The 21,755-nt window shown below is 45.7% G+C and overlaps 3 protein-coding genes across 7 annotated transcripts in view, besides 1 other annotated feature; 1 reads left to right on the top strand and 2 right to left on the bottom strand.

The window, feature by feature from the left end:
- ASPA (aspartoacylase) overlaps positions 1-4,680 on the top strand; it is a 29,296-nt gene extending 24,616 nt beyond the window's left edge. For 2 of the 3 annotated variants that reach the window (XM_017024661.2, NM_000049.4), the window contains one exon: positions 166-4,680. In XM_017024661.2, coding sequence (XP_016880150.1) covers positions 166-363 — 198 coding nt within the window. In that variant the 3' untranslated portion in view covers positions 364-4,680. 3 annotated transcript variants of the gene reach the window in all.
- SPATA22 (spermatogenesis associated 22) overlaps positions 1-15,133 on the bottom strand; it is a 73,840-nt gene extending 58,707 nt beyond the window's left edge. For both annotated transcript variants that reach the window (NM_001321336.2, NM_001321337.2), the window contains exon 1: positions 14,687-15,133. The gene's annotated coding sequence lies outside the window, so the exon portion shown is untranslated. The remainder of the gene's footprint in view (positions 1-14,686) is intronic.
- Positions 11,274-11,812: an enhancer, noted in NCBI's record as "OCT4-NANOG hESC enhancer chr17:3413293-3413831 (GRCh37/hg19 assembly coordinates)". NCBI's record gives its function as "activates a minimal SCP1, AML or CMV promoter by ChIP-STARR-seq in primed H9 embryonic stem cells {active_cell/tissue: H9 hESC(primed)}" and the evidence as "EXISTENCE:reporter gene assay evidence [ECO:0000049][PMID:30033119]".
- Positions 11,777-21,755, bottom strand: part of TRPV3 (transient receptor potential cation channel subfamily V member 3) — a 47,311-nt gene continuing 37,332 nt past the window's right edge. Inside the window, exons 15-18 of one of the 2 annotated variants that reach the window (NM_145068.4) lie at positions 19,851-20,125; positions 17,732-17,844; positions 15,868-15,947; positions 11,777-15,286 (exon numbers count right to left, since the gene is read on the bottom strand). In NM_145068.4, coding sequence (NP_659505.1) covers positions 15,192-15,286; positions 15,868-15,947; positions 17,732-17,844; positions 19,851-20,125 — 563 coding nt within the window. In that variant the 3' untranslated portion in view covers positions 11,777-15,191. Of the gene's footprint in view, positions 15,290-15,867; positions 15,948-17,731; positions 17,845-19,850; positions 20,126-21,755 lie in introns of both variants that reach the window. The other variant, NM_001258205.2, reaches the window with a different exon arrangement.

The raw sequence follows: 21,755 nt of genomic DNA on the forward strand, positions 1-21,755 counted from the left end.
CAATGTCAGCGCAGTCAGATCACTTGCCTGCATCTCAATGCCTCGCTCAAGTATCTCTTTTAAAACAACAGAATACTGTAATTTGTTAGTTGTCTAGAGTCTGACATAAATTTTTAGAGGAGAAAAACCAAATATAATATATTTATTTTGATTGTTTCCTGAGAGGATCAAGACTGGAAACCACTGCATCCTGGGGATCCCATGTTTTTAACTCTTGATGGGAAGACGATCCCACTGGGCGGAGACTGTACCGTGTACCCCGTGTTTGTGAATGAGGCCGCATATTACGAAAAGAAAGAAGCTTTTGCAAAGACAACTAAACTAACGCTCAATGCAAAAAGTATTCGCTGCTGTTTACATTAGAAATCACTTCCAGCTTACATCTTACACGGTGTCTTACAAATTCTGCTAGTCTGTAAGCTCCTTAAGAGTAGGGTTGTGCCTTATTCAACTGCATACATAGCTCCTAGCACAGTGCCTTATTCGGTAGGCATCTAAGCACATTTCTTAAATTAATTAATATATCTTTAAAGATATCATATTTTATGTATGTAGCTTATTCAAAGAAGTGTTTCCTATTTCTATATAGTTTATTATACATGATACTTGGGTAGCTCAACATTCTTAATAAACAGCCTTTGTATTCAGAATATAAAATTGAAATAGATATATATAAAGTTATTTGTTTTATTGTGCTTTGCCTTACTACACTTCACGGATACTGTACTTGTACTTTTTTTCCAAATTGAAGGTTTTTGGCAACCCTGTGTCTAGAAAGTCTAACAGTGCCATGTTTCCAACAGCATGTGCTCACTCCTTGTCTCTGTGTCACCCTTTGATAATATTTCAAGCTTTTTTATGATTTATTTATTATATCTGCTATGGTGATCTGTGATCAGTGGCCTTTGATGTTACTGTTGTTAAGTGTTTTGGGGCACCATGAATCGTGCCCATGTGAGACTGCGAACTTAGTGAATGTTGTGTGAGTTCTAACTGCTCTACTGACCGGCCATTTCCTTGTCTCTCTCCCTGTCCTCTGGCCTCCCTGTTCCTTGAGACACAATAATTAATAAGTCTACAGCAGACTCTGTGTGTTCAAGTGAAAGAAAGGGTCATACTTCTAGAAATTAAGCTTAGTAAGGAAGGCATGTCAAAAGCTGAGACAGGCTGAAAGCTAGGCCTCTTGCACTGGTTAGCCAAGTTGTGAATTCAAAGAAAAGGATCTTGAAGAAAATTAAAAATTCTACTCCAGTGCACACACACAAATGATAAGAAAGCAAAACAACCTTATTGCTGATATGGAGACAGTTTTAGTGGTCTGGATAGAAGATCAAACCAGCCACACATTAAGCCAAAGCATGACCCACAGCAAGGCCCTAACTCTCTTCAATTCTGTGAAGGCTGAGAGAGGTGAGGAAGCTGCAGGAAGCTGGGAGAGGTTGGTTCACAAGGTTTAAGGAAAGAAGACAGCTCTAAAACCTACAAGTGGAAAGCGAACCAGCAAGTTGCTGATGTGGAAGCTGTAGCAAGTTATCCAGAAGATGTAGCTAAAATCATTGACAAAGATGGCTACACTAAACAACGGATCTTCAGTGTAGTTGAAACAGCCTTCTATTGGAAGAAGATGCTATCTAGGACTTTCCTAGCTAGAGGGGAGAAATGAATGCCTAGCTTCAAAGCTTCAAAGGACAGCCTGACTCTCTTAAGAGCTAACACAGCTGGTGACTTTGGGTTAAAGCCAAAGCTCATTAACTGTTTCAAAAATCCTAAAACTCTTGTTTTTTGTTTTTTTTTTGAGACGGAGTCTTGCTCTGTCGTCCAGGCTGGAGTGCAGTGGCGCAATCTCGGCTCACTGCAAGCTCCGCCTCCCAGGTTCATGCCATTCTCCTGCCTCAGCCTCCCCAGTAGCTGAGATTACAGGTGCCTGCCACCACGCCCGGCTAATTTTTTGCATTTTTTTAGTAGAGATGGGGTTTCACTCTGCTAGCCAGGATGGTCTCGATCTCCTGACCTCATGATCCGCCTGCCTCGGCCTCCCAAAGTGCTGGGATTACAGGCATGAGCCACCACGCCCGGCCCAAAAATCGTAGGACTCTGAAGACTGATGCTAAACCTGCTGTGTCTGAGCTCTATAAATGGAACAACAAAGCCTCGCTGGCAGCACATCTGTTTGCGGCATGGTTTACTGTATATTTTAAGCCCACTGTTGAGACCTACTGCTTGGGAAAAAAAAAAATTCCTTTCAAAATACTACTGCTGATTGACAATACACCATGTTACCCAAGAGCTCTGCTGGAGATGTGCGAAGAGATTAGCATTGTTTTCGCGCCTGCTACCACGACATCCAGCCGAAGCCCATGGATCAAGGCGTCATTGTGACTTTCAAATCTAACTATTTAAGAAATACATTTCAGGCTGGGGGAGGGGAGAAAAAAGAAAAAAAAGAAAGGAAGAAAAAAATCATTTCATAAGGCTATAGCTGCCATAGATAGTGATTCCTCTGATGGAGCTGGGCAAAGTAAACAGAAAACCTCTGGAAAGGATTCAGCATTCCAGATGCCATTAAGAACATTCAGGATCCGTGGGAGGAGATCAAAATATCAACATTAACAGGAGTTTGGAAAAAGTGAATTCCAACCCTCTTGGATGACTCTGAGGAATTCGAGACTTGAGTAAAGGAAGTCATGCAGATGTACAGCAAGAGAATGAGAAGTGGAGCCTGAAGATGTAACTGAACTGCTGCAATCTCATGATCACACTTGAATGGATGAGGAGTCGCTTCTTATAAATGAGCAAAAAAGTGGTTTCTTGGCTGCAATCAACTCTTGTTGCAGATGCTGTGAACACTGTTGAAATGACAAAGGATTTAGAATATTACGTAAACATAGTTGATAAAGCAGCAGCAGGGTTTAAGAGGATTGACTCCTATTTTGAAATGAGTTCGGCTGGGAGAAGTGGCTCATGCCTGTCGTCCTAGCACTTTGGGAGGCCAAGGCAGACAGAGCACCTGAGGTAAGGAGTTCGAGACCAGCCTGGCCAACATGGTGAAACCCCCTCTCTACTAAAAATACCAACATATTAGCCAGGCGTGGTGGCACGTGCCTGTAGTCCCAGCTACTTGGGAGGCTGAGGCAGAAGGATCACTTGAACCCAGGAGGCAGAGGTTGCAGTAAGCCAAGACTGCGCCACTGCACTCCAGCCTGGTGGACACAGCAAGCCTCCATCTCAAAAAAAAAAAAAAAAAAAAAATGAGTTCTACTGTGAATAAAATGTTATTAAACAGCATTTCATGCTACAGAGAAATCTTTCACGAAAGGAAGAGTCAATCAATGCAGCGAACTTGTTGTTTTATTTTAAGAAATTGTCACGGCCATCCCAACCCTCAGTGCCCAACCACCCTGATCAGGCAGCCATCATCAAGGCAAGGCCCTCCACCAGCAAAAAGATCATGAATTGCTGAAAGCTCAAATGATGGTTAGCTTTTTTAGCAATAAAGCATTTTTAATGAAGGAATGTACATGTTTTAGATATAATGCTATTACACATTTAACATACTACATATAGTGTGAGCATAACTTTTACACGTACTGGAAAATCAAAAAATATGTGTGGCTCATCTGTTATAATGTTTGTTTTATTGTGGTGATCTGGAGCCAAGGCTGAAATATCTCTGAGGTATGCCTGTAATGTATAAGTGCTAGTAGAAATGAGTTGTGCAGAATTGCTATTTTTTTCAATTTTTATATTTGGGTTAATGGTAATATACTAAGCGTCCAGTCTATAAACTTCAGCATTCGTTGCGAAATCCAGAGGAGACTTTTAAGTGCTGTTTTGTAGATGAAATATGAAAGAGAAACAAGGGCTTAATGGTAAAGATGACATATGACTATATTAAGAAACTGAATGGCCCTTTGTCCACAAACAGTAACCCACACAGCATTGCTACTGTGGCATGCCCACTGCTCTGCACTGACCTCATGGAGCAGAGAACCTCCTTCAGACACCTCACGCACCCCCTGAGGAGCTAATGTTTCTTCCCAACATGGAAAATTTGGAAGAGGCCTATTCTTCACAGCTGTCACTTCTCATTTTGAAAGAATATGCCCACCCTTATTCGCAGGCAAGGTGTGAGGAGGTCTTTGGGCTCCAGCTGTTGCCAGCAGAGGTGGTGAAAGTCAACAACAGGGCACTGGACACACATAGAAATGTGACCCACAGCTATGGTTTGCAAATACAGTCTTTCAAGAAGTCCTGCCATGTCCTAAATGCCCAAACCCCTTGCCTCCCATGATTCTTCTCCTCAAAGGACCTTCTGCTGGACGCCGCCCCCTCCCTCTCCAGCCCCACCAGGGCCCTCCCCGCCATCCTCTTAGGCCACAGCAGCCAATAAAGAGTGTTTTTATTCCATGATCTGTACCCCCAATGAATCCATAATCATAGTTTCAAATGTATTTACCAAAAATACTAACATTATCTGGAATGAATGAATGAATGAATGAATGAATAAATATTATATATTTATACATTTTCATTCTTCCAAAGTGAACCCCACTATGCCAGTTTTACTCCATACTCAGTGTTCTGGAAAGCCCATATTCTTTCTAAATTTTTCAGCATTTTTTTCTATTTTTGTACTTTACCAAAATTATTTACATTGGAATAAACTCTCTTCCTTCTGAATTCTGTAGTAAAAATGTGATTTATCAGCTTTTGTACATAAGATTTACCAAGCTTCCTTCTCCTGCTGTGAATGTTCCGTTGTGTCCTATTTCTGAGTCCAATTTTTCTAGGTCAGCTTTTTCCAGATGAAAATTTTGGCAAGAATATTCTTCCCTCAAATTTTAGTTATTTGTAAAATTTACAGTGTACAATTTATATCACTGTGGTTTCAGTGGGTTTCAGGGTTGATTATTCCTATCAAGTCTAATCTTCCCTTTTACAGTCTTTAAAGTTTCTAATTAGATGTGTGGTTGGTTTGTTTGTTTTTAATCTATAACATATTGCTGTGTGGTTTTAGCCACTTTGAGTTTTATTTTACTTTGATTATTTCTAACAATCTACATTTGCATTTTTCTCATTTATAAAATGGGAATGATAATAATAATAGTGCCCCTTTCATGGGGTTACTGTGAGGATTAAGTGGGCTAAGACATATAAGCACTTAGCTCAGTGCTTAGCACAGAATACATACTTAACAAATCACTGAAGTTCAAATTCCTAGCACAAAAGGCCCTTCCTGATCTGCCCTCCCTCCCCGACGCCTCCCTACACTCATCTCCCTTTGGGCCATCTCCACTCCAGTGTCCTTCCCACTGTTTATTCCTCTAGGCCTTTACATAGACTGACTCCCCTACCCAGAACTCTCCCCCACTGTCCTCCACCTCCCACCCCACCTCAGACTGCGCTCTAGCCAATAATGCCTTTTTCTCCTTCAAAATGCAACCCAACTTTCATTTCATAGCCAACATGGTCTTCGTCGACCTGACTTTGTTGCCACTTTGCCCCTCCTTCTATCCCATCTTGAGGGCATCAGCAGTGTCTTTTTCGATGTCTACAATCTAGAAAGTGACCAATAGAGGTGAGTTGAATAAATGAGCATGCTCAAACATCCCTTCTCTACTGGAACATCTTCATCTTCCACCAATGGCCCTGCCTTTCTTTTTATCTTCCTTCCCAGTCACCTCCTGAGAACTGTCCCCATCACTCCCAAGTGAAACACTTCGTTTTACACCCTCCAGACTGTTACTATGTCCCAAAGGACAGTGGAAGGAAAAAACAACCATTTAAGTCTGCAAATCCATGGGAAAAAAAAAAGGAAATTTTCTTTTCTTTTTTTTTTTTTTTTTTTTGAGATGGAGTTTCACTCTTGCTGCCCAAGCTGGAGAGCAATGGCATGATCTCGGCTCACCGCAACCTCTGCCTCCTGGGTTCAAGCGATTCTGCCGCCTCAGCCTGTTGAGTAGCTGGGATTATAGGCATGCGCCACCACGCCTGGCTAATTTTGTATTTTTTTAGTAGAGACGGGGTTTCTCCATGTTGGTCAGGCTGGTCTCGAACCCCCGAACTCAGATGATCCACCCACCTCGGCCTCCAAGAGTGCTGGGATTACAGGCAGGAGCCGCCGCACCAGGCTAAAACAAGGAAATGTTCACACTCAACAATTCCCCTGTTTACAATCCTTTGGTGGCTTCTTACCCTTGTTATGAGATCTCAAAGCCTCACCACGGCTGTCCAAGTCCTACATGCACTGGCCTCTGCCCACCCCTCTAGCCTTATTTCATGTCACTTGGCCCCTTGCTCCCAGCAATTTGGCCACATAAGACTTCTCCAGTCCTCAGATGCACAAAGTTCCCTACCACCTTTGCCCACATTTTCCCACTTACTGAAACGCTTCCCCATCTCCACACTTCCATTAGCTAAATGACGCTACTCTTAAACATGACTCAGGCTAGGTTAGGCCACTCTGTTATACAAGCTCATTGCCAGTACTAGACTGGCACTTACCCAAATTGCAACCGTAATGCTTTATGACACCGGGGCAGGTGAAGTTATTGTCTGTCTCTGATTAAACTGCAAAAGCTCCAAGAAAGCAGGGATAGCATTTGTCTTATTCTTTGTCGTACACACAGCACTTCACGCATAGAAGGAGCTCAGTGCGTTTTGCTGGATAAATGAGAGTTGCTCTGCTGAGTGTGAAGCTATCTGGAAGGGCTTCTTTGGAAGAGCGGGTTGTCACTTCCCTCACAAGGGTGACCCCAAGATAGCCACTGGAGACCACAGAGAGTGGGAATGGTGAACCACATACAGGCAGTGCTCCAATAGGAGGAGCAAATGAAAAGTGGCAGCTGGGGAAACCCTGAAGCCTGAGAGTCCCATGGGGGTGACCAGGGAGAGAGGCCTATACGGGTCATGGATGTTCCAGGGCAGCAGGACCAGGGAGCGTCTGAAGGCCCATATTTGCATATCCGACAAAAACAGAGTCTGGAGGGAAATAGCTGCTTAGGGGTTTTTTGTTTGTTTGTTGTTTTTTGTTTTTTTTTTTTTGTTTTTGAGACGGAGTCTCACTCTGTCACCCAGGCTGCAGTACAGTGGCATGATCTCCGCTCACTGTAGCCTCTGCCTCCCGGGTTCCAGCGATTCTCGTGCCTCAGCCTCCTGGGTAGTTGAGATTACAGGCATGCGCCAGCAAGCCTGGCTAATTTTTATATTTTTAGTAGAGATGGGGTTTCATCATATTGGTCAGGCTGGTCTCGAACTCCTGACCTCAGGTGATCCGCCCACCTTGGCCTCCCAAAGTGCTGGGATTACAGGCGTGAGCCACCATGCCCGGCTGCTTTTCTAATATCTCTATACTTCCCACACATACTGCCTTCAAGAGGCTTGTGATCTACCTGTAGAGACCTTTGTATGCCTGTTCCCAAAGCAGACACACCAAAAACCCTAGTCTAGTACTTGGCAGACAGTAGTTCCTGAACACCTACCAAGCCGATGACTGAGAGGGTCACTCAGAGAGGACTTCGCCCAGGGCTGCCCCATCAGGCTTGGTGGGTTGCACAATATGAAACTCCAGGGAGGTACCTGCACACACCACAAAGTCAATGGCACAGCCCAGAAGCTTACATCCCATCAAAGCAAAAACAGCACTAAAGTTTCCCCCATTCTGCCAAGAAAAGAACAGGAACTTGACTAGCAAACAAAGTCAACCAAAAAACTGAGGTCTATAGGGGATTAATGTAGTATAATTAAGGGGAAAAAAATACTAAAGCCCCATTAGCTACAGATAGACTAAATGTTTAACAGAAAAACGTCATTTTTAGAAACTACATATTAAGGGAAAGAATAACTTTCACAGTCTTGAAACATAAGAAAGCTCAAGAGCATAGAGAGCATAGAGAGAGGTCCCTAGACAGGAGTTTTCTTGCTCTAAGTGAAAGGCAGGGCCACGCACAGGGACCTGTAATCCCAGCACGTCGGGAGGCCGAGGCAGGTGGATCACCTGAGGTCAGGAGTTTGAGACCAGCCTGGCCAACATGGTGAAACCCCGTCTCTACTAAAAATACAAAAAATTACCTGGGCTTGGTGGCGGGTGCCTGTAGTCCCAGCTACTTGTGAGGCTGAGGCAGGAGAATTGCTTGAAGCCGGGAGGTGGAGGTTGCAGTGAGCCGAGATCATGCCATTGCACTTCAGCCTGGGTGACAAGGCAAGACTCTGTCGGAAAGACAGAAAAAGAGAGAGAGAGAAAGAGAGAGAGAAGGAAAAGAGAAGGAAGGGAGGGAGGAAGGGAGGGAGGGGAGGAGGGAGTGGGGAGGCGAAGGCAACCAAAGCTTAGGAATGTGGGTGCAAATAAATTCACAGGTTTGGTGGTCACAAGTTGAAGGTGTTTCCAACTTATGGCTTCCATTTTCACTGTAAAATAAGGGATAAAACCTACTACAGCTATTGATATGGAAATGGTGGGGTCACAGGTTTAAGAAGTATGATGGTTTTGAAATAACAAAATATGATGGTTTTAAAAAATAAAACAGAAAACCGATGAAAGAAATAGAACAGCTGGACAGTAACAAGGGTTGCTATAAACATTAAATGAGACATGTATGTAAAGTGCATGGCACTTTATAAATATTCATGTCCTTCTCCCCTCCTACCACCATCTTAAATGGAAGAAACTGTCTTACTTATATTTGTATCATCTATCATTGCCCATACTTCATGTTCAATTTTTGTTGAATTGGTTCTAAATCTTCACACATAGTAAGTGAGATACATTTTTTGAGTTGGACTGAATCCTTTCTGCAGAACTTTGCTGTTACTGTCAGAGGGGTTGCTGGTGCAGTGAGAAAAATGGTAGTTCTTGATACTAGACTAACTAAACTTCAGAGAACCTGGATCCTCCAGCCAGGAGAAAGGATTGTGAACTTCGCATGTCATTCCGTCTGTCTCCAAGTCTCGATTTCCCTACCTATTAAACTGGGATACGACACTCACCAAACCTACAAAACAATAACCAACATGACCGGAAGAGCTTTGTAAACAGTGTAGCATACAATCTCAAAGGCTGAACGCATTGAAGGAATCCTTTGGGGAGGTAATTTCTCAGAGTATCAAGAACCATAAAAATGTTGAAACCAATTGACCTAGGCATCTCCTTCCCAGAAATATATCCTATGACAAGGGTTTCCACCCTTTTTCTACCCGTCCACCCAAAACATCCCCATGGATGGCACATTCCTAGGTTTTGGACTAACGCCTATTAAGCTAGGATGTGAATCACGTACAATCCCTGTCTTGCTGCCACTCAACAAGATACATCCCAGTGAAGGAAGTTATTCTGGGAATCATCTGAATTAAGTAAATAATTCACCAAATGCAGTATTTCACTTATTAACAAATTGGTTGCAAGTTCCACAACCCATCAAGACAAGCAGTCAAGACTTGGCATTCCATCAGAGAAATGCAAATCAAAACCACAATGAGATACCATCTCACACCAGTTAGAATGGCAATCATTAAAAAGTCAGGAAACAACAGGTGCTGGAGAGGATGTGGAGAAATAGGAACACTTTTACACTGTTGGTGGGACTGTAAACTAGTTCAACCATTGTGGAAGTCAGTGTGGCGATTCCTCAGGGATCTAGAACTAGAAATACCATTTGACCCAGCCATCCCATGACTGGGTATATACCCAACGGACTATAAATCATGCTGCTATAAAGACACATGCACACGTATGTTTATTGCGGCACTATTCACAACAGCAAAGACTTGGAACCAACCCAGATGTCCAACAATGATAGACTGGATAAAGAAAATGTGGCACATATACACCATGGAATACTATGCAGCCATAAAAAATGATGAGTTCATGTCCTTTGTAGGGACATGGATGAAATTGGAAATCATCATTCTCAGTAAACTATCGCAAGGACAAAAAACCAAACACCGCATGTTCTCACTCATAGATGGGAATTGAACAATGAGAACACATGGACACAGGAAGGGGAACATCACACTCTGGGGACTGTTGTGGGGTGGGGGGAGGGGGGAGGGATAGCATTAGGAGAAATACCTAATGCTAAATGACGAGTTAATGGGTGCAGCGCACCAGCATGGCACATGTATACATATGTAACTAACCTGCACATCGTACACATGTACCCTAAAGCTTAAAGTATAAAAAAAAAAAAAAAAAAAAAAAAGACTTGGCATTCAAGTTAAGAACTGCCATCCTTATGAAATCACTCAAAGGAATGAAGAACTGAATATACCTATGAATTAGGCTGATCGGCAATAATGATAGTAAGAACATCAGCTCTTTCCTATCTATTCTCTCATTGCCTCCTTGTGAAAAGCCTGCGTGGTGGACAGGAGGGATTTATACCTTCTGTTCTCCAGGTGGAACCATGGGTTTCTATTCACTCAAAATAATTTGACAGCCAACAGCCATGATGGATAGAGCCCTCATTTTTTTTATTTCTTCCAAAAAAAAAAGGGGGGGATACAGGTGCAGAACATGCAGGTTTGTTACATAGGTATACGTGTGCCATGGTGCTTTGCTGCACCTATTGATCCATCCTCTAAGTTCCCTCCCCTCACCCCCTACCCCCCAACAGGCCCTGGTGTGTGTTGTTCCCGTCTCTGTGTCCATATGTTCTCAATGTTCAATTCCACTTATGAGTGAGAACATGTGGTGTTTGGTTTTCTGTTCCTGTGTTAGTTTGCTGAGGATGATGGCTTCCAGCTTCATCCATGTTCCTACAAAAGACATGATCTCATTCCTTTTTATGGCTGTATAGTATTCCGTGGTGTAGATATAACACATTTTCTTTATCCAGTCTATCATTGATGGGCATTTGGGTTGGTTCCATGTCTTTGCTATTGTAAATAGTGCTGCAATAAACATATATGTGCATGTGTCTTTATAGTAGAATGATTTACATTCCTTTGGGTGTATACTCAGTAATGGGATTGCTGGGTCAAATGGTATTTCTGGTTGTGGATCTTTGAGGAATCGCCATACTGTCTTCCTCAATTGTTGAACTAATTTGCATTCCCACCAACAGTGTAAAAGTGTTCCTATTTCTCCACAGCCTCTCCAGCATCTATTGTTTCCTGACTTTTTAATAATCGCCATTCTGACTGGCGTGAGATGGTATCTCACTGTGGTTTTGATTTGCATTTCTCTAATGACCAGTGATGATGAGCTTTTTTTCATATGTTTGTTGGCCACGTAAATGTCTTCTTTTGAGAAGTGTCTGTTCATATCCTTTGCCCACTTTTTGATGGGGTTGTTTTTTTCTTGTAAATATGTTTAAGTTACTTGTAAATTCTGGATATTAGACCTTTGTCAGATGGGTAGATGGCAAAAATTTTTTCCTATTCTGTAGGTTGCCTGTTCACTCTGATGGTAGTTTGTTTTGCTGTGCAGAAGTGGATAGAGCACTCTTTGAGGGCTTTCATGGCCTGAACCACTGACATTATGTGGCTGTGAATCCCTGGGCACATCACTTCAAGCCCGTGAGTCTCCTTTTATTGAAACTGCTTCCAAAGCTGCTGAGTGGTTCGAATTGACTACCTGATGTGAATGCGCTTTGAGATGCAAATACGTACAAAGGTGACATGCCTTATGGCTTGCTGGCTCTGTTCCTAAGCCGGAACCAATGATAATGCTTCAGGTCCAAAAACGGGCCTTCCCTTTACCCACTCCTGTTAACAACACTCTAGGGTTTCTAGTCAATCTGCACATTGGCACACCTAACGCAAGGATAAAACGTGGCCATAACGAGGCAAAACAAATATTTATTAGAAATCAAAAAACCATTTCTTCAATGGCACAAACATGTTCTTACTCTTTGTATGATTTCTTTCTTGAACATAGAGTTTCGCACACACATACACACTAAGAACAAGTAGGTAAATGAGAATTTACAAGGATCCGGCACATTCAAGGGAGAATGGGGTGACGATTCTGTGTTTGGAACCAAGATCACAGTAAAAAATATGTAAATCAATGCAGAAATCAAGTACGGCTTACAGGCCCGGATGACGGCCCATCTACCTGGGCCCTGCCCAGAGCGAAAGGTCACAGGTCACCAGGCCTTGAGGAAGGACAGGAATGTCAATAATAAAGGGCTCTCTCAGGCTGGAGCCTTCTAAGAGCCTGAAGACTTCACAGTACAACCTCCAGCACCTTCTCCCACATCCCAGGGAGGAAGGTTAAGCACCTTTTATTCCTAACAGATATATCACATAATGTCTAGAATAATGAATTCTTCCTGAGGAAAAGTTTAGCTAAAGGAGCATTTGCAGCCAAAGGCACTATCTGAACCTGGGAGACCCCATCCCTGGAAAACACCTTCCCCTGAAATTACTGAAATGTCAATCACGGAGTTTTAGGATGTCCTGATAGACCCACGGGTTCAACGGGGTGTGTGTGGGGGCTGAGGGTGTGTGTGTGCATGGGTGTGGTTTTGTGCACCCCTGTGGGCACACTTGAATTTTCAACTAGTCATAGGGAACATAGGGGACAATGTTGACTGCCAAATGAGACACCTGAGAAAATAGTCCTGCCCCCCAATATAAGCGAAATACAAAGACTCAAAATGATGGAATAACTGTGCTTTTTAAAAATAAATAAATAATGGCTCAGGGAGACATCTGTGGTCCAAGAATCAGGACACTCCAGCCTCCACAGCTCTGATATGACCTTCCTGCATGACTTTGCCCAAGTACACATTCCTCTCGGAGCATTAGCCTCTGGGCGTAAAATGAAGGAAGTGCTCCTTTTCACTCTGATGCTTCTTGACTTATGGCTTCCCTTGGTAAACCTACCTAGGCTCAGACGTTTTGGCTGAAAGCCTTTTGGGGTGGACACTGTTGGGAAGAATATCCAATACAGAAAATGGTCTTGCCAACAAATTCCATCCAGACCCACAGACAGCAGATCACCAAAACATGTGAGATGACAAACATCCCTATGGCTCTCCATTCCCCACTTGGACAAAAGCTGGCAGGTTAGGCAAATAGAAATCAATAATTGGCTTTATCCATTAACATCCGAGTCAAAGCAACTCTGGATACGGCTTTATCCATAACAGATACGGCTTTATCCATTAATGGATATGACTTTCTCCATTAATATCTGAGTCAAAGCAATTCTGGAATTCCCAGCTCCATAGTGTGGAGCTTGGCATCATGAATCCAAACCACTTCCTTTCAGACCAAGATGTCTGTTCAGGCTTAATGCGGGTAGCTAACTCCAGATGTGGAATGCTGATTTGTACAATCTCCAGGCTAAAAGGGACCTTAAACTTCTTCCAATGACCATTTTCAACAACATTCCTCATTAAGTGCGCAACCAGCTTCTGCTTAAACATCTCCAACATCTGGAGCAGTTGCTGGATTCTGTTGAGCCAAAATCTTTCTCAATTTCCTAATTCTGCCCATTCTGAAACACATCTGCTCCTCCTGCCTCTAGGACAGTTCTCCTCAAATCTTCTCTTCTCCAGAGGCCCATGCCCAGCCCCGACCACTGTGGCTTAGAGCACGCGATTACTCCCTGGGTCAGCTGGGAGGGCAGGGGCTGCTGTGGATTGTGAAGCCTCACACACCCCAGCCCACCTCTCCCCAATCGGCCCCATCAGGGGCACAAAGTCTCTATCTGTCCAGCTAGTCTGGCACACAGAGTGGCCCAGGGCAGAGAAACTGGCCCAGAGTGCACTGCTAGGCCCCGACTCTTCAGTTTGCCTCAAGCCAGATGAACTTATCTATCGCCATGTTATCTGAAGGCCAAATTTCTATTTCTGCCATTTAAGATTAACATTTATGGTTACTATTTTTATAATTCCACCTCGAACATTTTTACATGAATCCTTTCACCAGATAACGGCGGCAGAGTGGATTTTCTGGTGGTTTCGGCCCCAGTCACCTGGAAAATCCTTCCGTCTCCACTTCACCTCTGCCCCCCAGACTGACTCCGTGTCATTTCAGAAAGAGAACATCAGAGGACGAGGACCTAAAAATAAGCTCAAAGTCTTGGCAAATGCTTTTCTCTCACAAGCTTCCCCTTCAGCTTCAAAATTCACAGTTAAAATTAAAAAAAAAATACTTCGTACCAAAGCAGTTGAGGCATTTTGTTAAATTCCCCCACTGAGACATACTGAGGTATGCGACTAACTGCTGAGTTCCAAGATGATATCGATCGAGCAGCTGCTATTTCTGCTTCAGCGAAAGCCACGATCCCAGCACACAGGCACGCGCTACTGTGAGGTCAGGACGAGGAAAAGAGCCAGGACCTTTCACCCAGATCGCGGCGGCCCAGCAGGACTTGCCCGGAGTGTCTCATGCAGACTTTTGTGTGTGTGAAGAAAAGCTTTTTGTCTTGCTCTGGGCACCCTGAGGCCAAATATATAATACTTACATCCAGCCCCAAAGCCCCCAGTCTGTCTCCACTTTTAAAATCACAAACTTCATTGTAGTAATTTTCATTCTCAACTGAAATGTCTTTTCCGTATTGCAAGTTAAAACCCTGTGTTAATTCTGCTACTAAAAACATCTCTCAGCTTGAGACAGTTTGAACCTTGGGGTGTCAGGGGACGTTCACTCCAAGGATGGTCTCCTTTTCCCCGAAGGGTTCCGGAAGGGTGTTTCCAGAGCGCATTCCCCTCCTCCCCCAGGATATCCAGCTTACCTCCGTCCCCCGCACACTCTGGGATGGGATCACGGGTCTCCCACAAATTCAGGCAACCCAGTCACAGCAGAAGAGATGGTACAATGTGTGGGCTGGGGTTGGGGCTGACGGGGGAAGCTGGCAGGAGGAAAGACTCCTCTCCCTGCTCCTCAAGACTGCTGCCCCTTTCCCGCCATCCATCTCTCCCAGCCAAGCCGACCTGCAATTGGTAAAACCAGAGGCTTCACCCGGGACTTCAGGAGGCTCCCAGGCTCCAGACTGCTGCTGGCTGTAGGTTTACACCAGCTGTTTGCCAAGTAACAAAATCCAGGATGTTTCCCACTCAGACAAATTGACAACTGCCCCTCAGTTCAGACACCCACTGAGCACTGAGCACGAGGGTGCACTCTGCTTCTAGGCCAGCAGAGCCGGACTCCACCATCCCTCAAAGCCTCTCTGCACAGAGTCGGTGACTCCGCCTGCAGCGCCAGACAGCGCACGCGCACACCAGCTCTGGGTTCCGCTTCTACACCGAGGTTTCCGGGAATTCCTCGACTTCTTCAAATGCATTGAGAGTGGTTTTGCTGTTGTTCCTGGAAGAATCTTGGATTTTGTTGAAATCTGCTTTTTAAAAAAATATATATTTTAGAAATATATCACTCTGCATAGTGTGTTTCTTTTTTCTTTTTCTTTTTTTTCTTTTTTGAGATGGAGTTTCCCTCTTGTCACCCAGGCTGCAGTGCAGTGGTGTGATCTCAGCTCACTGCAACCTCCACCTCCCAGGTTCAAGCAATTCTCCTGACTCAGCCTCTCGAGTAGCTGGGATTATAGGCACCTGCCACCACGTTCGGCTAATTTTTGTATCTTTAGTAGAGACAAGGTGTCACCATGTTGGCCAGGCTGGTCTCAAACTCCTGACCTCAGGTGATTCACCCGACTCGTCCTCCCAAAGTGCTGGGATTACAGGCACGAGCCACCGCGCCCGGCCTGCATGATGTGTTTCTATGGCTTAGGGCTACGCCATTTTAAAAGTTGTGCCAACTAGGGTTCTAAAAGTCAGAGCTGGAAGAGACCTAAGAAGCATTTCCATTCAACCCTCCCATTTGACAGATGGGGAAAGTCAGGACCCTTAGACTTGATCTGCCCAAGGTTACATGGTCTGAGACAGGAGCGGACACCATGTCACCTCACAGCGACAGTACCTGTTCGTCTTACAGGCCCCGGGTCTTCGTTAAGGAAGGAGACGTGCGTCTTCCATTCAGTCCACTTCACCTCATTGATCCTGCAAATGTGATAATCATTCTTACTATTTCACCAGTGCCTCACTGAGTACTAACAAATAGCCCTGCGTTTGGGACGTCCTGGTGTCTACACAGCTCCCCTTCTGTCTGTCCTAGAGATCAGGAGCACCCCTGACCCGAGGGGTCACACCAAAGTTGTTGGAGTTTGAACTCTATCCCCATCTCCACGTCCCCAGGCCTCAGAGAATCAGTTCTCCTTCCATTGTAGGGAACTCGGAAATCCTGCAAGTTGCCCAGACAGGTGTAAAGGGTCCAACTTCAGACAACAGCTGCTGTGCCTGACTGGTGACAGCCCAAGGGGAAGCGGGGACAGACAGAGGGAGGGCCCGGGCCACGAGGGTGTGAAGATTAAACTCCAAGTGTAGCAGGGGTTGAGGAAGCACGAAGAGCCTGTGGTTAGGGTCAGTGCCCCAACAAGAGTGGGTGGCGTCTGAGGTGTTAGAATACAACCATAGGCATTGATGTGACTTCAATTCACACCCAGAGAACATCTCTAGAGTGAGGGTGGCAACATCACAACTGTTTGTTAGGGTAATGATTGCAGTCAGAAATGATGCTTTCCACGGGGCGCGGTTTCAGTCAGAGAAGTGGGTTAAGGTATGGTCATACTCCGAGAAGGTGGTCTGTAGGCTCAGGCAGTTGGGTCAGGGTAGGAGGAGGTGGGCTTATCAGAAAAGGTGTTCATGGGGCCGGGCACCGTGGCTCACGCCTGTAATCCCAGCACTTTGGGAGGCCGAGGGGGGTGGATCACTTGAGGCCAGGAATTCAAGACCAGCCTGGCCAACGTGATGAAACCTCGTCTCTAATAAAAATACAAAAATTATCCAGGCGTGGTGGCATATGCCTGCAGTCCCAGCTACCGGGGAGGCTGAGGCAGGAGAATCGCTTCAACCAGGGAGGCGGAGGTTGCAGTGAGCAGAGATCGCATCACTGCACTCCAGCCTGGAACTCCTTTTAAAAAAACAGAAAAGAAAAGGTGGTCATAGGATATGTAAGGACTTTAAAAAAAAAATGCAAAAAGCCAGAGATCTGTCAAAGTAGCCACGTCACTTTCCATCTGCCAGGGGCAAAAGGGGCCTCAAGTCACCCGGGGTCACAGGAACTCACACAGGGTAAACAGCAGGAAAAGGAGTACCCAGCAGGCAGATCTTCCCTAAACCAGATAGCGAACACAGAGAGACCATGGAGGCACCTCCAAAAAAGCAGAGAGAGGGGCTGGGTGCGGTGGCTCATGCCTGTAATCCCAGCACTTTGGGAGGCCAAGGTGGGTGGATCACCTGAGGTCAGGAGTTTGAGACCAGCTTGACCAACATGGTGAAACTCTGCCTCTACTAAAAATACAAAATTAGCCAGGGGTGGTGGCGCATGCCTGTAGTCCCAGCTACTCGGGAGGCTGAGGCAGGAGAATCACTTGAACCCGGGAGGCGGAGGTTGCAATGAGCCAAGATTGCGCCATTGCACTCCAGCCCGGGCAACAAGAGCAAAATTCCGTCTCAAAAAAAAATAAAAGAAGAAAGAAAAATGCAGAGAGGGGAGCCGCTGTTGGCAGTCTCCTTCTCTTTCTCTTCTGAAGCTCAGGAACCCCCATCTCAGGGCCTGCAACCCCATAAGCAAATTCCTTCTTCCAAGGAGGCCACTGGAAGAGACAGTAGCTGTGGTTATGGTTAGCAAGTGGCGGCACTGTTTCTCTAACATCCTGTCACCATCCTGCCCCTCTCTACCCACCCCAAAGACCACCACCCCAGGGCCCTTCTCCCTTTGTTACCGCAAACACAGTCGGAAATCATCCTCGGCCACTTTGCACAGCTCTCCCATCCGGAATCTGCTCCTCAGCCATTCTGGTAACATTTTCTCAAACTCCAAGATGGTCCTGGCTCTCTGGGGACATAAGCAAGTCTAAGGAGTAGGCATCCACACTCACAAGCACACACAAGGGCACACACACTGTCGGGGAGCCCACTCCACCCTCACCTCATGCTTAATGCATAGATCGCAAGGGTTTGGCTAATCTACAGAATTCAAAGACAAAAAAGCAGGCCGGGCACGGTGGCTCACACCTATAATCCCAGCACTTTGGGAGGCCAAGGTGCGTGGATCACCTGAGGTCAGGAGTTTGAGACCAGCCTGGCCAACATGGCGAAACCCTGTTTCTACTAAAAACACAAAAATTAGGGCTGAGCGCACTGGCTCTTGCCTGTAATCCCAGCACTTTGGGAGGCCAAGGCGGGTGGATCACCTGAGATCAGGAGTTCGAGAGCAGCCTGGCCAACATGGCAAAAGCCGGTCTCTACTAAAAACACAAAAATTAGCTAGGCGTATGTCAGGCGCCTATAATCCCAGCTACTCGGGAGGCTGAGGCAGGAGAATCACTTGAACCTGGAGGTTGGAGTTTGCAGTGAGCCGAGATCCCACCATTGCACTCCAGCCTGGGTGACAGAGCGAAACTCCATGATATAAATAATATTTCTGAAAGCCCAGGAGCTTCCTATCTGAAAGTGCTGGGGTCCTGGAATCCCATAGCAGAGGACCGTTCAAACATCATTTGTCCCACCCCCTCCCAGGCTTGGAATCTCTCTGCAGTTTCCTGGCCATAATTTTTCCAGTCTCTCTTGAATAGCATCAACAAACCAATTAAGAGGGCCTTGGACAGGCGCAGTGGCTCACACCTGTAATCCCAGCACTTTGGGAGGCTGAGGCGGGCGAATCGCTTTGAGCTCAGGAGTAAGCGGCCAGCCTAGGCAACATGGTGAAACCCCATCTCTACAAAAAATACAAAAATGACCCAGGTGTGGTGGCGCGTGCCTGTAATCCCAGCTACTTGGGAGGCTGAGGTGGGAGAATCACTTGAGCCCGGGAGGCAGAGTTTGCAGTGAGCTGATAATCGTGCCACTGCACTCCAGCCTGGGCAACAGAGCAAGACCCTGTCTCAAAAAAAAAAAAAAAAAAAAAAGGAGGGCCTTAATAAAGAGAAACTTCCATGTGTGACATCAAAGCTTTTCTCCCTGTAGTAACCCCATGTACATCTGCCTTCCAGGACCACAGAAGGGATCTGCTCCCTCTTTCATAGGTTGTTCTGCAGATATCCAAAGGCACGCTCACCTTTTTCCAATGAGCATTTCTTTTTTTTTTTTTTTTTCTATTTTTGAGACAGAGTTTTTGCTCTGTCACCCAGGCTGCAGTGCCATGACACAATCTCAACTCGCTGCAACCTCCACCTCCTGGGTTCAAGCGATCCTCCTGCCTCAGCCTCCCAAGTAGCTGGGATTACAGGTGCGTACTAACACACCTGGCTAGCTTTTGTATTTTTAGTAGCGATGAGGTTTCACCATGTTGGCCAAGCTGGGCTCGAACTCTTGACCTCAGGTGATCCACCCGCTTCGGCCTTCCAAAGTGCTAAGATTACAGGGGTGAGCCACCATGCCCGGCCGCCAACCACCATTTCTTAAGAGGCAGTCTCCAGTCCTCTCCCAAACCTGGTTACCACCTCTGAACCCATCCTATGCATTGGTTTCCTCAGCATGTAAGAAGTGTTCAGGCCAGGATAGAATAGAGCAGAACTGTCACCTCCACTGTCCTAGACGCTGTACTCCTCTTAATGCAACCTAAGGTCAAACTTCAACATCCACACATCACACTGTCAACCCTGAGCAGAGCACCCCCATGAGCCTGAGTTTTTCTACACATTCTGTTGCACAGCCACACTCCCTAGACCCTACACTCAAAGAACCTAGGCTAAGGCCTCCTCAAACCTGGCCACACACTGAGGAGCTTGTGCAGATTCTCAGGCCCCACCTCAGACCCACTGGTGCTGACAGTAGTCAATGACCACGTGCTGAACTGAGTCCCGTGGAGGCCCCCACGCTGGGGTCTCCACCTAGGCTCACCTGCAGGCGCCAGATGCGTTCGCTCTCCTTGGAGACGTTCTCCACAGTCTCGCCCATCAGAGCAATGAGCATGTTGAGGAGGAGAACAAAGGTGAGGATGACATAGGTGATGAGCAGGAACAGAAAGAGAATGGGATACTTGGAGTTCTGCTGGATGTTCAGGTCACCCAGGCCTATGGTGAGCTTGAAGAGTTCCAGCACTGCGTCGCTGAAGCTGCCGTAGGAGCTGCAGTCCTTGTTGTCTTTGGGACACTTCTCGATCAGCGAGGCCAAGGCTAAGGGAACATAACAGGGTGCTCTCCTCAGCTCTCTGCCTGGTAATTACTCTACAAGCTTGCGTGTATTTGCCTACATGACAAGCCTGCTGCCTCCTTCTCTCTGGCCATTAAATCCCATCTCCAGTTTCAGGTCCTCTCAAAGCCTCATCAGGCTGGCTTCTCTGGCCTGGCCTCCTGCAGAAAGCCCTTCCACCTAACAAAGCCCAGAGTCTTCTCTCCTTCCTTTACCCCGCAGTCTGCCCTTGATCACTTGCAGCCTTGCAGAGCCACTAATTATAATCCATGTGTGTGTCCCTGGCTCCCCAGCTAGTCTTTGAGCTCCTGACTTCCTCTAGCCTGGGTCACCTCCCTCAAGGCTGTAAGATCCTGAGTCTCCTCCTAATGCTCTGTTTTGAGTTCCCTGTGAGCAAGACCAGGCTCACACTTCCCTTCTTTCCAACACACCACAGTAGAGGTTCACTGCTGAATGGTTGGATGGATGGATGGATGGATGGATGGATGGATATGGAGGGATGGATGGAGGGATGGATGATTAGATGGAGGGATGGATGGATGGATGGATGGATGATTGGATGGATGGATGGATGGATGGATGGATAGATGATTAGATGGATGGATGGATAGATGATTGGATGGATGGATGGATGGATGGGTGATTAGATGGATGGATGGATGGATGGATAGATGGATGGATGGACCAATTGATCGATGGATGGATGGATGATTAAATGGATGAATGGATGGATGACTGGATGGATGGATGGATGGATGGATGGATGATTAGATGGATGATTAGATGGATGGATGGACTGATTGATCGATGGATGGATGGATGATTGGATGGATGGATAGATGGATGGATGGATGGATGGATGGATGGATGGATGGATGGATTGATGGATGAATGATTAGATGGATGGATGGATGGATGGATAGCTGGATGGATGGACCGATTGATCGATGGATGGATGATTAAATGGATGAATGGATGGATGACTGGATGGATGGATGGATGGATGGATGGATGGATGGATGATTGGATGGATGATTAGATGGATGGATGGATGGATGGATGGATGGATAGATGGATAGATCAATGGATGGATCGATGGATGAATGATTGGATGGATGGATGGATGGATGGATGGATGGATGGATGGACGGATAGACAGGTGGATGAGCAAATTAAATGAGAGAGTAAATAGATGGATGAATAAACAAGCAGGTGAAGGAGCAAATAAATAAGCAAATTGTGACCCAGAAAAGGTACCAGACAGATGGAAACAGCTACTTAATTTCAAATGTCAATGGTCACTGAAGAAAAGAAAAAAAAGCAACTGGTACGTGGGGGAAAATGATATCTCTCTATGCAGAGGTTAGAAATACAACCAGATCGTGCTGTTCCCTCTGTTGTAAATGGAGAGATTTTAAGAGGGGGCTCCTTCCTGGTCCCAGCAGACCAGAGAGGCTCTCACAGTTGTATCTAAAGCAAACTGTGAGAGTAACGTGATGTGAAATCCAAAGGAAATCACCTCAGGGTATTAGTTTGCTCCTACTTTGCAAAGACCATCAGTTGAGTTTCTGTGGACTTTAGTTTCCGCATCTGTTAAAATGGGGCTGAAAACAC

This window comes from Homo sapiens, chromosome 17 (assembly GCF_000001405.40).
Source record: "Homo sapiens chromosome 17, GRCh38.p14 Primary Assembly".
Taxonomy (NCBI): Eukaryota; Metazoa; Chordata; class Mammalia; order Primates; family Hominidae; genus Homo; species Homo sapiens.